At 41.1% G+C, this 14,395-nt stretch overlaps 2 long non-coding RNA genes across 2 annotated transcripts in view; one reads left to right on the top strand and one right to left on the bottom strand.

The window, feature by feature from the left end:
* LINC02405 (long intergenic non-protein coding RNA 2405) overlaps positions 1-14,395 on the top strand; it is a 145,171-nt gene that overhangs the window by 54,227 nt on the left and 76,549 nt on the right. The window contains exon 3 of the long non-coding RNA NR_104646.1: positions 5,521-5,615. This is a non-coding gene — a long non-coding RNA (long intergenic non-protein coding RNA 2405). The remainder of the gene's footprint in view (positions 1-5,520; positions 5,616-14,395) is intronic.
* LOC105370063 (uncharacterized) overlaps positions 1-14,395 on the bottom strand; it is a 51,177-nt gene that overhangs the window by 21,867 nt on the left and 14,915 nt on the right. Inside the window, exon 4 of the long non-coding RNA XR_007063518.1 lies at positions 8,892-8,993. This is a non-coding gene — a long non-coding RNA (uncharacterized LOC105370063). The remainder of the gene's footprint in view (positions 1-8,891; positions 8,994-14,395) is intronic.

The following is a 14,395-nucleotide window of genomic DNA, read 5'->3' as shown; positions in this document are numbered from 1 at the left end:
GCTGCCTCTGCTGCGATGCTCCTTTAGGTCCCGCTGTCTCTGTTTGAACCAGGAACTAATTTAGCCGATTTATTTATTTAGGCAATGTTCTGTCTTCATTGCCCACAAGATCCTCAAGTCAAGCCATACCCAGGATCCCCTTACGGACACAAGAGATTCTCAGCTCAGGCCGATTTCTCAGGTTTTTTTCTGTGTACATTTAGCAGGTCTATCTTCTGGGACTCTCTCTGTAGGACTTTACCACTCTCATTAACAATAACAAATCCTGATTAAGTTCCTACAACTTGTGAGGTCTACAGGGGACACACAGGGGAACGAAGCACAGAGGCCCTAATGGAGAATTCGGGCCACCATATTCTGGCAGCCACCACTGTTGGGGTTTCTGAGACTGTCCCTCCTAAATCTCACCCATCTTCTCCATTGGGTCCTAAACAAATGGAGACATGAGATATGGCAATTAAAGGTCAAATTATCAGCTTTATTACTGTTAGAGAACAAATTGCATATCATGGCTGTGGGTGTGTTAGCCAAGTGGACTTTCTCATTCTGAACTGCAGAGTCTGGCTAACCATCTCACCTGGCCTCAGGGATTGCTAAACCAGAGGAAGCCTGCCAGGTGTGGCACAGCGTATTAGATCCATATGACTCCTATAGGAGATTAACATGAATGTAGTGGCTACAAACACACAAATTTATCTGAAAGGACATTAGCGACAGAAGTAGGCAAATGGCAAGAGAAACGGTAGAGAAATGGCAAGCTCAACAATTAAAAGTCGAAGTCCTGTTCTCGGAGTTACAGTCTGTTTATGGCACCAGGACACTATATACTGCAACGATCAGTTCTGTGTCACAATGATAGCTGTCTGCCTTGTGTTCAGAGTCTACTTGCCCAGTAAGACCACCAGAAAATATTACTAGGTTGGTGCAAAAGCAACTGCGGTTTTTGCCACAAACCTAATATATTCCTATTATATTGATCAACCAAAGATGAATGGATTAAACTTAAACTTACTGTATCAAGGAGGCCTTGAGAGAATCTTAGCAATGTTTCAAAAGGGGGCAGGCAAAATAGAATATTTATATCATGTGGGTGCCTGGGTTCAATTTCTCTAAGATGGGGCTTTTGGAGTCAGAACTGGTTGAATTTTGTATCATTTTTGACATAATAATTTAGGACTGGTGGACACAGCCAGGTAAGAGTTTTCATTAGTAAACTATTGACTGATAAAATAACTGTTTACTCAGGTGAGCAAACTAATGTCCTGGGTAAATTGATTTACAAAATATTCTGACATATTCAATAGTCATTTATTGGTTATATGGTCTTATTTTCTGGGACAAGAAATTTCTAAAAAAAGTGGTTACATCATATTGATGCAGGTGGTTTCATTTCCTACCTAGAATAAATCCTGATTCATATTCTTACTGGCTAAGAGGCCTTAAGCAAGTCCTATCATCTTTCTAAGATTCAGTTTCTTCAGGTATAAAATGGGGATTAGAAAAGTATCTTATGAGGCAATTCTGAGGATCAAATGAGATAATCTATATAAAACCCTCAGAAGAGTTTCTGCAAAAATATAATTCAATACATAATAACAATACTGATAACACTCAAGAGTCAGGGAATGATTTGAGAATATCTTGAATGCAAAAGCAACAGGCACCAATCAACAGATGCTCACTCTGTGAATAGGTGTCAGTCTGCATAAGAAAAAAATGCTACAGCATATGTTTAGAATCTGTAGAGAGAGAATAATCTTTCAGCCATCTTGAACTAGACTAACGCTTTTCAATCATATTACTGTGGGATACCAATGAGCCACAAGCCCTTTAAGAAGTATGATATCCAATTTTGATTATCCAATTTACATTACATTGTATCTTTATGTTGTCAACAAGAATTGCAAACTCATGTGCCCCAAATGATCTGTCTATAAGTCAGACTTAGCCAGTTGCTGATATGTTGCAATGCAAAACTAATATTGTCAGAATTCTAATTGTCAACAATAAGCAAAATCCACATTGTATTATTAAATCACTCGATGGAAAAGGAGTTTAATGCTATGCAGGGCAAACACAGTATTATGGAAGGATTATCTAGTCATCAGTATGACAATGTGTGAGACTCTCTGCATACTAATATCCATCAGCAAGACTAAACATTGAACTCAGTGGATTTTGGGGTATAGTTTAAAGAATGTTACAATTGACCCAGAAGGAGTGATAAAGGACATCGATGAAAATTAAGCGCTAGTGCCATAGTGAAGTATGTCTCTACCGGGGAATTGGAATCTTTTGCTCCTAGATACTATGACAACAGATTCAGGGCAATAATATGATATAGTCAAACAGAAACTCAGGGATGAAGAGAGGCTAAGCCAACCAGGTATAAATATTTCTATAGATTCTGTAAGACATGGTTTTCCTGTGGTAAGGTTCCCAGTGTAATTGTTGTTGCTTTGTTTTACATTCTTTCCAATTTTCCATGGCTACTCAGGGTAAGAATGAGATTAGTTAAATTTCAACACATACATTGAAATATAATACAATATGGTTTACTTTCTGCAAAGTAATTGTAGGTATACAAATACTGTCAACTCCTTGAGTCTAGTCATATTAGTTTGATGTTTTCTAGTGAAAAAAAAATTGTGTGTGTAATTTCATTTGGAAAAAAATACCCTTATAAACAGAATTGTAAGTGTGAGGCCCTCTTTGATGAGAGGCATGGACAAAATGGGCTTGGTCCTCACTTTGATAAAGTCAAGTTCATTCATAAACTTAAATTCGCAAGAAATCCAAACCCAACATTGATAGAAAAAAACAGGCCTCTAAAGTCCACTTAGACCTTTCTTCCACTTATTAAGGGTGCCTTCTCCAAACAAGCTGCTTGGCCAAATTCACCCTCCCTGTACCCCTGAACACAAAAAACACCCTTGATTCTGTGTCCTCTTCTAGCTAAGAATACTTTTTCCTGGGAAGAACAAAAAAACAAAATCACATCCCAATAGCCGTATCCTTTTCGGAAGACATGTGATTAGCCAAAAAATAAAAATACAAGGTTTTTGGCCATGGCCAGGTGCAATGGCTCATGCCTATAATCCCAGCACTTTGGGAGGCTGAGGTGGGTGAATTACTTGAGGTCAGGAGTTTGAGACCAGCCTGACCAACATGGTGAAACCCCATATCTACTAAAATAATAAAATAAAATAAAATAAAATAAATTAACTGGGCGCGGTGGCGCATGCCTGTAATCCCAGGTACTTGGGGGGCTGAGGCGAAAGAATTGCTTGAACCCAGGAGGTGGAGGTTGCAGTGAACCTAGATCACGCCACTGCACTCCAGCCTGAGCAACAAGAGCAAAACTCCATCAAAAAACAAAAAACAAAACAAAACAAAACAAAAAAAACAAGGTTTTTATTTGACCCAGAAAAGCATTCATTCCTGACTTTTATTTTTTTCTTCCCAGAATAAAAAAAAAAAGTATTCTAAGACATTCTGGTCAGGGTTCTTGGCTTTTGAAACTACACTTGCCTGTTTCTTGACTAATTCTTTTTCTCAGAGCAGTAGAATCACACCACACACCTCTTTAGTTAACACTAACTCAACTACATGCATGGCTAGCTAGAGAGAGAGAATAACATCATAACATTACTGGAGTCTAGGATTCTGCTTATATTCTTGTCCACTTGAATTTGTCCCTGTGGGAAGCTAAGGCATGAGATGGGAGATGTCAATAGTTGGTTTCCTTCATTGCTCTCAGTTCCCCAGGGTTCTCCTGGTGGGAGCATCTCTCTACACTACCCGTAGTGCCAATGTTTGAAGATACGCATCTCCCACCTTAGAAAGGGCATGTTGTCTAGACACATCAATGACATCAACTGAAATAGAAACAACCAACAGTCATCTGCTTCTATCCCTGCTCAGCTGGTTTACTGAGCATTTCTGAGTTTGGTTCTTCTGTGAACTTTTAATTTTAATTTTTATTTTTTAATTTTTTTATTTCCATAGGTTTTTGGTGAACAGGTGGTGTTTGGTGACATGAGTAAGTTCTTTAGTGGTAATTTGTGAGATTTTGGTGCACCCATCACCCAAGTAGTATACACTGCACCCAGTTTGCGGTCTTTTATCCCTCACCCCCTTCCCACCCTTTCACCCTAAGTCCCCAAAGTCCTTATGGCATTCTTACTCCTTTGCATCCTCATAGCTTAGCTCCCACTTATGAGTGAGAACATAGGATGTTTGGTTTTCCATTCCTGAGTTACTTCACTTAGAATAATAGCCTCCAATCCCATCCAGGTTGCTGCAAATGCCATTAATTCATTCCTTTTTATGGCTGAGTAGTATTCCATAGTGTATATATATATACACACACACAGATATATTTATGTATGTGTGTATATATATATTTATTTATCCCCTCATTGATTGATAGGCATTTCGGTTGGTTTTACATTTTTGCAATTGTGAATTGTGCTTCACATGTATCTTTTTCATATAATGACTTCTTTTCCTCTGGGTAGATATCCATATCCAGTAGTGGGATTGCTTTATCAAATGGTAGTTCTACTTTTAGTTCCTTTTTTTTTTTTTTTTGAGACAGAGTCTTGCTCTGTCACCCAGGATGGAGGGCAGTGGCACAATCTCCGCTCACTGCAACCTCCGCCTCCCGGGTTCAAGCGATTCTCCTGCCTCAGCCTCCCAAGTAGCTGGGACTACAGGCGCCCGCCACCACGCCTGGCTGATTTTTTGTATTTTTAGTAGAGACGGGATTTCACCGTGTTAGCCAAGATGGTCTCAATCTCCTGACCTCGTGATCCGCCCGCCTCGGTCCCTCAAAGTGCTGGGATTACAGGCGTGAGCCACCACACCCAGCTCTACTTTTAGTTCTTTAAGGAATCTCCACACTGTTTTCCATAATGGTTGGATAAGTTTGCATTCCCACCAGCAGTGTAGAAGTGTTCCCTTTCACCACATCCATGCCAACATCTACTATTTTTTTATTGTTTTTATTATGGCCACTCTTGCAAGAGTAAGGTGAATCACGTCAATGGTATCAATTGAAATGAAAGCAACCAACAGTCCTGCGCTCAGCTGGTTTACTGAGCAATTTTGAGTATGGTTCTTTTGTGAACTTTTAAATCCAAACCCAGAAAAATATGTGACTTTTCTGATTTTTCTGCTGTGTCCAGGGCTCATTTGGTACATTTCTTCCATGAGGAATAAAACATCTTTAAACAGATTTCTCAGAATTATATTAGGGTTCTTTTAATGATCCGTCCTTCAGAAGAGCTATAGCTACTTCTGAAAAGGAAGACCAGAAAGAGTGATGCTCAGCCTAAAGGGATTGTTAGTTGTGTCATTTTAGGAATCTTAAGAAGTGACCTCTCTGTTTACAATAGACCCAGGACCTCAGCATGAGGCTGAGGCTGCCTGAACTGAGACGGCCGGTCCCGACACACAGACATAACCCACAATGGCTATTTTGAGCTAATATTTCCTGTTTTTTTTTTTCTCCTGCAGCCCCTGTAAAGCAACACATTTTTTGGCAAGAATCCCTGGGACAGAGAAAGAATTTCTTCTCACTTATTATTGAGAATGTTCTCATGTCTTGCAAGGTAGGTCTTGTGCTTATCCTGGGAAGAATGCCCTGGGGGAGGGAGAAGGCTTGTCTGAGCGCTGTACATTCACCGAAGAGTTTTTTGCTTTTCTGGGAGTATCAGACAAAATGCTCGGCATAATACAGCTTTGTGGTTGACATTCGATTGTCTACCTGCCCAAGTAAGTGGAACTTTGATTTTGTGGCATTTGTGTTGAATCTCAAAAGCTGAGGCCATGGAATCAGAATTTTAAAGTCCTTATGGTTTGATTTCAGGGTCCCTTAATGGTTGGGGCAGAATGTAGGGGCCAGAGCCCCAGGGTAGAGTCAGAACTCTGGATAAGGTAGGCCGGGTGTAGTGGCTCACGCCTGTAATCCCAGCACTTTGGGAGGCCCAGGTGGGCAGATCACCTGAGGTCGAGAGTTCGAGACCAGCCTGACCAACATGGAGAAACCCCGTTTCTACTAAAAATACAAAATTAGCCTGGCGTGCTGGCACATGCCTGTAATCCCAGCTACTGGGGAGGCTGAGGCAGGAGAATCGCTTGAAACCAGGAGGCAGAGGTTGCGGTGAGCCGAGATCGCACCATTGCACTCCAGCCTGGGCAACAAGAGGAAAACTCCATCTCAAAAAAAAAAAAAAAAAAAAAAAGGAACACTGGATAAGGTAAACACTAGGGTCATGACCAACACTGCAGATTTTCCTCCTGTTCCTCAACGGTTCCTTCCTTGCAGAACTATGCCTGGTTTCATTCAGGGCATCCATGTACCCAGCTCCAGGGGTCCAACTGGTCATGGATAATCGTAACTTCTACATTTGCCAGCTTTCTTTGCAGTTCCTGATGTCCATGTGACCCAACAGAGTACAGGGGATTTCCAGGAATGACTGCCTGCCTGGATCAAATAAAAATCTCTTTTCTTTCCCCTTTATGGCTAATCGCATGCATTCTCCTAAGACAGCATTAGGATGTGATTCTTAGCACCTTCTGTAGCATCTGTGACAATGACATTATAATCATGAATCTGAAACCCAACACGCAGTAGATGACACGAGACAGCAGCGAGAGATGGAACAAACAAGATATTCTTTCATTTTTATAAGCCGTGGAAACTATGAGTGTTTGTTACTGAAAACACTGGGTAAAGCCAAGAAGGAGAAAAAAATAAGCCATCCCATGAAATCCCATGTTAAGCTTTTTTTTTTTTAATCACTCTTGGTAATTTAAATTTCACCTCTCAGTAATTCTCTACTTCAGCATAGATAAAGGGAAAAAAAAAGAACATACATAGTCTAATTTTTCTCCTCTGTTCTCTTCTAATTACCAAGTTAAAAAAACATAGGCAAAAAAACCCAGAAAACCCAAAGGCATCCATTGTAAGCTCGGGAGTATAATTTCTACATGGGACATGGCTGGCCTTCCTGCTCGGTGCTACTGTTCTGGAAGTTACAGATAAGGAGTGGGCCCAGTAATCGTTCATAGAATGAATAAGCAGCACCTCTCAGTGTTCGTGTTTCTCAGGAGCATTGATGAGGATGACTCATATGCACTCACATAAAGTGCCTTATTTGACTATCTTTAGAGTCTCAAGCATCATCTCTATGGAGGATTGGTGGGCTGAGGAGGAGCCCTTTAAGGCCGTGATAAGCCAGCCACAATGACAAGCAAACCTTCAAAGGGACATAAACCCCGTGTGTCTTAAGAATTGTGTCTGAATAGTAACGAAGGCAGGCGCAGCAGACTTTTCAGGGACCTCTCAGGCCAGACAAAGGAAGCAGGCGCTGATAAAGGAGCATTTCCAGTCAGCGCAGCTGATAATTAAGTGGCCTTGTCAGAAGGCTTCCGTGTTACTGATGCAGTGGGAAGATGTGATTGAAAACATAAATAAATAGGAGAATAAAAGAGTATTAAGAATCTCCTTTAAAATAATTTCGATGTCAATGAACTTAAAAACATGCTAATAAAATAACTCAACTGTTTCTTGATGACACCACTATGAAAGCGTGACTGAGCTTCACAGAATCTAAACCTATTATTTTGTGCATTTTTACAAGATATGTATGAACATTGTTGAATGTTTATGTTATTTAATTGTGATCCCAGTAAGGGTGGACGTGGCTTATTTAACTGAACCATTGAGGCATTAAAGCAGTTAGAATAGAGTCACATTTTGGCCAGAACACATTTTTGTTCATAGTGGTAACTGCTTGGACACCAGATTAAATTGGAGAAGGGGCAGGCAGAATTAATACAAACACATCACCCGCTTAAAACAAGCGGATCTTGCGAGGTCTGCAATTAGGTCCTGTCTTTATTGGAAGCAAAACAGCTTTAATCAGGATCCTTGTTCTTGTGCGCCCTAATTATTGGGTAACAGGCAATATTATACTCTAGCTAATTGCAGAGAAATTGCTTGAATCTAAGCACCTGCAATGGTGGATTGTGCTTACTTCATCTGGTTGAATTTGGGCACAGTATTAGACAGGAGAGCCCAGGCTATCTTGAAGTTGTGCAGAGCAGGGGCTAAAAATTTAGACTTAGGACTGTGTTTTTCAGGGTTCTCTAGAGGGACAGAACTAATAGGATAGATGTATATGTGAAAGGGATTTTATTAAGAAGAACTGACTCACACTATCACAAGTTAAAGTCCCACAATAGGCCGTCCGCAAGTTAAGAAGCAACGAAGCCAGTGATGGATCAGCCCCAGTCCCAAAATCTCAAAACCAGGGAAGCCGACAATGCAGCCCTCAGTCTCGGGCAAAGGCCCGAGAGCCCCTGTTAAACAACTGGTATGAGTCCAAAGGTCAAAAAGCTGCAGAACTCGGAATCTGATGTTCAAGGGCAGGAAGCATCCAGCGCGGGAGAAAGATGAAGGCCAGAAGACTCAGCAAGTCTGCTTTTCCATCTTCTCCTGCCTGCTTTATTCTAGCCGAGCTGGCAGGTGATTACATGGTGCCCACTCAGATTAAGGGCGGGTCTGCCTCTCCCAGTCCACCGACTCAAACGTTAATCTCCTTTGGCAACACCCTCACAGACACACCAAGAACAGTGTTTTGCCTCCTTCAATCCAGTCAAGTTGATACTCAATATTCACCATCACAGGAACCAACCTGCCCGTATTCAGCTCCTGGCTTTGCTACTCCCTGGCTGTGCAAATGTGAATGTGTAACTTTGCCTTGCAGTGCTTTGCTTTCGTCTTATGTAGAGTGGGGATGATAATGACATTTACGTCAAAACACGGTTGCAGACTGAGCTAGTGAACTTTCTCTGCTAGGACTCACCCCAGGACCCAGTACCTTCAAGCGTTGGCTGTACGGATTACCAGCTCCTGAATTGCAGGCCTCTTTTCCATAACCAGAAAGACTTGTAAGTGCTTCTGTTTCCTTCCCCATAAACTCCTGGAAAAAGAACAGAAACTGGAGTCTATGATTTATTGGGGAGAGAAAAGAAAAGAAAAAAAAAAGAAGAGAAAAGAAATTGGTTAATATGCCAAAACATTATTTTAGTCATGTATGTGAAAACAGTCTGAGGACATTTCACTGTTCTGTGAATACATTATCACCCTCAAAACCTGACTGAACATGAAAATGACTCATGTGATCTGCTTTTATTGATATTTTAAAAAAGGAGAAAACAATAGACTTTCTCATTGATTGGGGGTATACAAAGGGGATCTTCAGCTTTTAGGGGAACAATTTTGGTGCGGTTTTGTTTTCCTCTCAAATACGCCATGCAGAAAATAGACTTTTGAATTGTAAACTACAGACAAAATCTTAAGCCTCACAGCCCACTGAATGGACTCTGTCTTGGTTAAGGGGACTCCAGAGAATCTTTAAAAAGACTGAGTTCCCAGCCATGATGGAGTGGGAGATTGGACAGGGCTTGTCTCATCCCCTTGCTTTTGCAAATTAGACACAACAGACCAATATTACTGTTAAAATAGGGGTCATAAGACTGGCAGAACAGACTCTTTGTAGCAATAAGATACCAAATTATAAATAAGACCTAAGACCATGCCAGGCAATGGATGAATCTACGTAAAGAGTAAACTATATTCTAACTGCCACAAGAATTTTCTTATTTTTAGCAGCTAAACAAGTGCTGGCTTTGAGATAAGCAATATTAAAACAATTTTAAGCTCATCTACGACCAGACATTGACTAACTGGCCCTCCTCTTCCATAAGCCGACAGCTTTCACTGAACAAGAGACTGATTTCAGTAACTCTCTCCTGATAAGAAGACCATGGACCATGGACTGGTTCTGGCTGGTTTACAGAGGCTGCATACTGAGTGTCTTCATGTTCTTGCTTCATCTTTTGACATATAAAGTCTAATTGTAATACATTTAAATGTTAAGTCTCCATCCCAAAGTGAACATGGCTTACGGGTAACGTGCACGTTTGTTCAATATGCATGCCTCAGGATCGCCTTCACAAATCCACAGTTCTTCCTTAACCTGTTGCATATGTTTCCTTGGTCAATGCATTCAGCTTCAACTTCTGTTCAACCACTCCTCTTCAGAGTGCTTGCTTTTGGTTTTTGGCCAGAGGCTATGCTTCCCTCCTACAAGTTGTAATCCCCCTTGTCAGGTATAAAGCTCTCCCTTCTAAATGTATAAATTGTGTGATTTTTAAGTTAGCAGAATGCACAAAAATAATTTTCCCAAAGAGCTTATTTTTCTCCCAAGAAGTGAAAGGTTATTTTTTTTCCTCAGTGCAAAGCAGATTTTAAAAGACATGAATATTCCTTCAGCAATGTCATGGAAGAGAGTCTGAAGTTTTTGTGGAGTGATTGTCTCTGGACATATTGAGAGATGGGAGGGGAGGAACTGTCCTTGGTTCACAATAAAGAGTTAGGGGCTAGGGACCAGGTCTCCCCAGTTATTTAGCAGAAATTGGATATTTTCTCCTAACATAATTCTAACTCGCCAATCCTATATATATTTTTATTTTACTGATTTTCATCTTATCGGATAATATTGATTGCTTGACTTTTTAAGATTTAAATCAGGTCAACTGAAAGAGTTCAGAAAGGACCCCGAAGAGTCAGGGAGGAAAAGTCATCCTTACTTTCAGAGTTAAAAACTCATAAGTAATTAGATTATTTTCTGGAAACTCATGGAAAATTGCTTGTGCAAAACCACTTTTATTGGATTAATGTGTAAGTATATACTACACCTTCAGGCTGGTTTTTGGTACATTGAACCGAGCACAAATAAAATTGTCCATCATAAGATAAAATCTGGTCAGCTACACTGGACTGCCTATTTTCTCTATTGGCAACATTAGTAAGTAATGACTATAGAAATTTTTTTCATTAACCAAGGCATCTATTTAGACATGGAGTGGTCAATGCTTTCAATGGTTATTTACTTCTTAGAATTGGTGGTATGAAAATGTAATAAACAATTAATATGCTAGCCACAAAATTTCAAAATCAGTAACTAAACTAAAACACTGCTTAGTGATTAGAAATCAGGCTTGGATCCCATCGCTTCCATTTTTTGTCTTTATGTTAGTTAAGATAAAGTTAAATGCTGTAACAAAGAAAACCCAAAGTGTGTAACAGTTTAAACAGAATAAAAGTTCATTTCCCACTCATAATTTTCAAAGGAAATGCCCTGGTTTGATGGTTAATATGAAGTATCAACTTGATTGAATTGAAGGATGCAAAGTTCATCCTTTCTGGGTGTGTCTGTGAGGGTGTTGCCAGAGGAGATTAACATTTGAATCAGTGGACGGGGAGAGGCAGACCCACCCTCAGTCTGGGTGGGCACCATCCAACTGACTGCCAGCGTGTCTAGAAAAAGCAGGTGGCAGAAGGTGGAAGGAGCTGACTTGCTGAGCCTTCCTGCCTTCATCTTTCTCCCGTGCTGGATGCTTCCTGCTCTGAACATCAGACTCCAGGTTCTTCAGCTTTTGGACTCTTGGACTTACAATGGTAACTTGCCAGGAGCCCCTGGTCCTTCAGCCACCGGCTGAAGGCTGCACTGTCGGCTTCCCTATATTTATTTACTTACTTATTTGAGACAGAGTTTTGTTCTTTCGCCCAGGCCGGAGTAAAGTGGTGCGATCTCACCTCACTGCAACCTCCGCGCCCTGGGTTCAAGCAATTTTCCTGCCTCAGACTCCTGAGTAGCTGGGATTATAGGCACCCACCACCACACCTGGCTAAATTTTGTATTTTTAGTAGAGACGGGGTTTCTCCATGTTGGCCAGGCTGGTCTCGAACTCCTGACCTCAGGTGATCCGTCCGCCTTGGCCTCCCAAAGTTCTAGGATTATAGGCATAAGCTGCCGCGCCCACCCGGCTTCCCTATTTTTAAGGTGTCGGGACTCCAACTGAGCTACTGCTGGCTTCCTTGCTCCTCAGCTTGCAGATGGCCTATTGTGGGACTTCACCTTGTGACTGTGTGAGTCAGTCCTCCTTCATAAACTCCCTTTCATGTATACATAGATTGTGTTAGTTCCGTCCCTCTAGAGAGCCCTGACTAATACACCCAATCAGTGAGTGGCTCTCCTCCGGAGGATGTTTGGGGGCCAGGCTCTCCCATCTTTGGCTCCTCCTTCTCTAACATGTGGCTTCTAAGCTTGCGGTGCTGCTGGGCACGGAGCTGATGGAAGAGGACAGAACCTACAGGATCACCTATGGGAGCGTCACCCAGGCCAGGTGAGGAAGGCAGTGCCACATGTCTGCACCCCTGCCACTGGCTGCGAACCAGTCCCATGACCACAGCAAGCTACAAGGAGGCTGGAAATAAAACATAACCAGGAAGGAGAGAGAGTGGGTTTGGTGAACAAGGATCCAGTCTCTGCTTCCATCTTTAAGAAGCCATGCTAAAAGGCTTCCAGCATAATTAAGGGAGAGTTTTTAAATTTTGAAGAAGCAAAAGAATAAATAAAATTTCCATCATCCATTCCTATGTCTCCATGTGTAACATGGTTTAAAACCAGAGTGGAAAGTCTTTATTTAACCATAATTTAAAGTAATAAGCTGCCTTGTAACAAAAGATATAAATGCCACAAATAGATGTCATTATGTAGTGTTACTCCAGCCTGGGCAAAAGAGTGAAACTCCATCTCAAAATAATACATAAGTAAATAAATAAATAAATAAATAAAAATAAGGAAGCCGACAGTGCAGCCTTCAGCCTGTGGCCCAAGGACCGGGGGCCCCTGGCAAGTCACTGTTGTAAGTCCAAGACTGCAAAAGCTGAAGAATCTGGAGTCTGATGTTCAGGGCAGGAAGCATCCAGCACGGGAGATAGATGAAGGCAGGAAGGCTCCGCAAGTCATCTCCTTCCACCTTCTGCCACCTGCTTTTTCTAGCTTCGCTGGCAGTCATTTGGATGGTGCCCACCCAGATTGAGGGTGGGTCCGCCTCTCCCAGTCCACTGACTCAAATGTTAATCTCCTCTGGCAACACCCTCACAGACACACCCAGAAAGGATGAACCTTGCTTCCTTCAATTCAATCAAGTTGACACTTCATGTGAGTAAGTGTAAAAAATAACCACCCTTTTATCACAAGAAGAGAGAAAAACATATATGTGAAAAATAACTTACTACATAAAATACATCTCTGTGATAAATCCCTGCTCCTCTTTTTCTCTATGCCATGATTACGGAGACCAGCAGTCTTTGGGTCACAGACAATCTCCATATCATCCCACTCCATTTCTTTGACCACAGAAACAAGAATCTGTGAGAACAGCAGTCATTACAATTGGAAGCACATTAGTGTTGAGTCACAAAGAGTTCGTTTTTATTTGCATGGCTAGATAATAATATACTATACAACTGCACAGTAATAAATGCGAAGAATTTGATAAATACTCTGCCAGGAACTTCTGGAAAAACATTAGTCTAAGCAATTCAACAATATAAATATTCTTATTTTCCCCACTTACATAGACACATATGTATTTGAAATTCAGAACTTACTTATCCGTCCATTTGTTAGACAGTGAGTATCTGCTGCGTGTCCAAGCACTAGGAGATGCTGAGGGTGTATTTCTAAGTGACTTATAGAGGTTTCTTGTCCTCATGGAGTTTTCAGTATCATGGAGGAGACAGAAATTCATGGCATAATCTTATAAACAAATATGCCACTGAAGCTCAACATCACTGATTACTAGAGAAACGTGCATCAAAACCGCAATGAGATACCATCTCACACCAGTCAGAATGGCTACTATTGAAGAGTCAAAAAATAACAGACCCTGGTGTGGTTGTGAAGAAAAGAGAACACTTTTACACTGTTGATGGGAGTGTGAATTAGTTCAACCATTGTGGAAGACAGTGTGGCGATTCGTCAAAGACCTTAAGACAGAAATACCATTCGACCTAGCAATCCCATTACTGGGGATGTACTGAAAGGAATATAAATATTCTATTATAAAGACACATGTATGCATATGTTCATCGCAGCACTATTTACATAGCAAAGACATGGTATCAACCTAAATGTTCATCAGTGATAGACTGATTAAAGAAAATGTGGTACATACACATCATGGAATACTATGCAGCCATTAAAATGAATGAGAACATGTTGTTTACAGGGACATGGATGGAGCTGGAGGCCATTATCCACGGCAAAATAACATAGGAACAGAAAACCAAACACTGCATGTTCTCACTTATAAGTGGAAACTAAATGATCAGAACACATGGACACATAGAGGGGAACAACACACAATGGGGCATATCAGAGGGAGGAGGGAGAGGATCAGGAAAAATAACTAATGGGTACTATGCTTACTATGCTTAATACCTGGATGATAAAATAATCTGTAGAAC

Source organism: Homo sapiens, chromosome 12 (genome assembly GCF_000001405.40).
Source record: "Homo sapiens chromosome 12, GRCh38.p14 Primary Assembly".
In the NCBI taxonomy this organism is placed as follows: Eukaryota; Metazoa; Chordata; class Mammalia; order Primates; family Hominidae; genus Homo; species Homo sapiens.
Note: the sequence above shows the minus strand (reverse complement) of the source record. Positions and strands in the feature narration are given on the sequence as shown.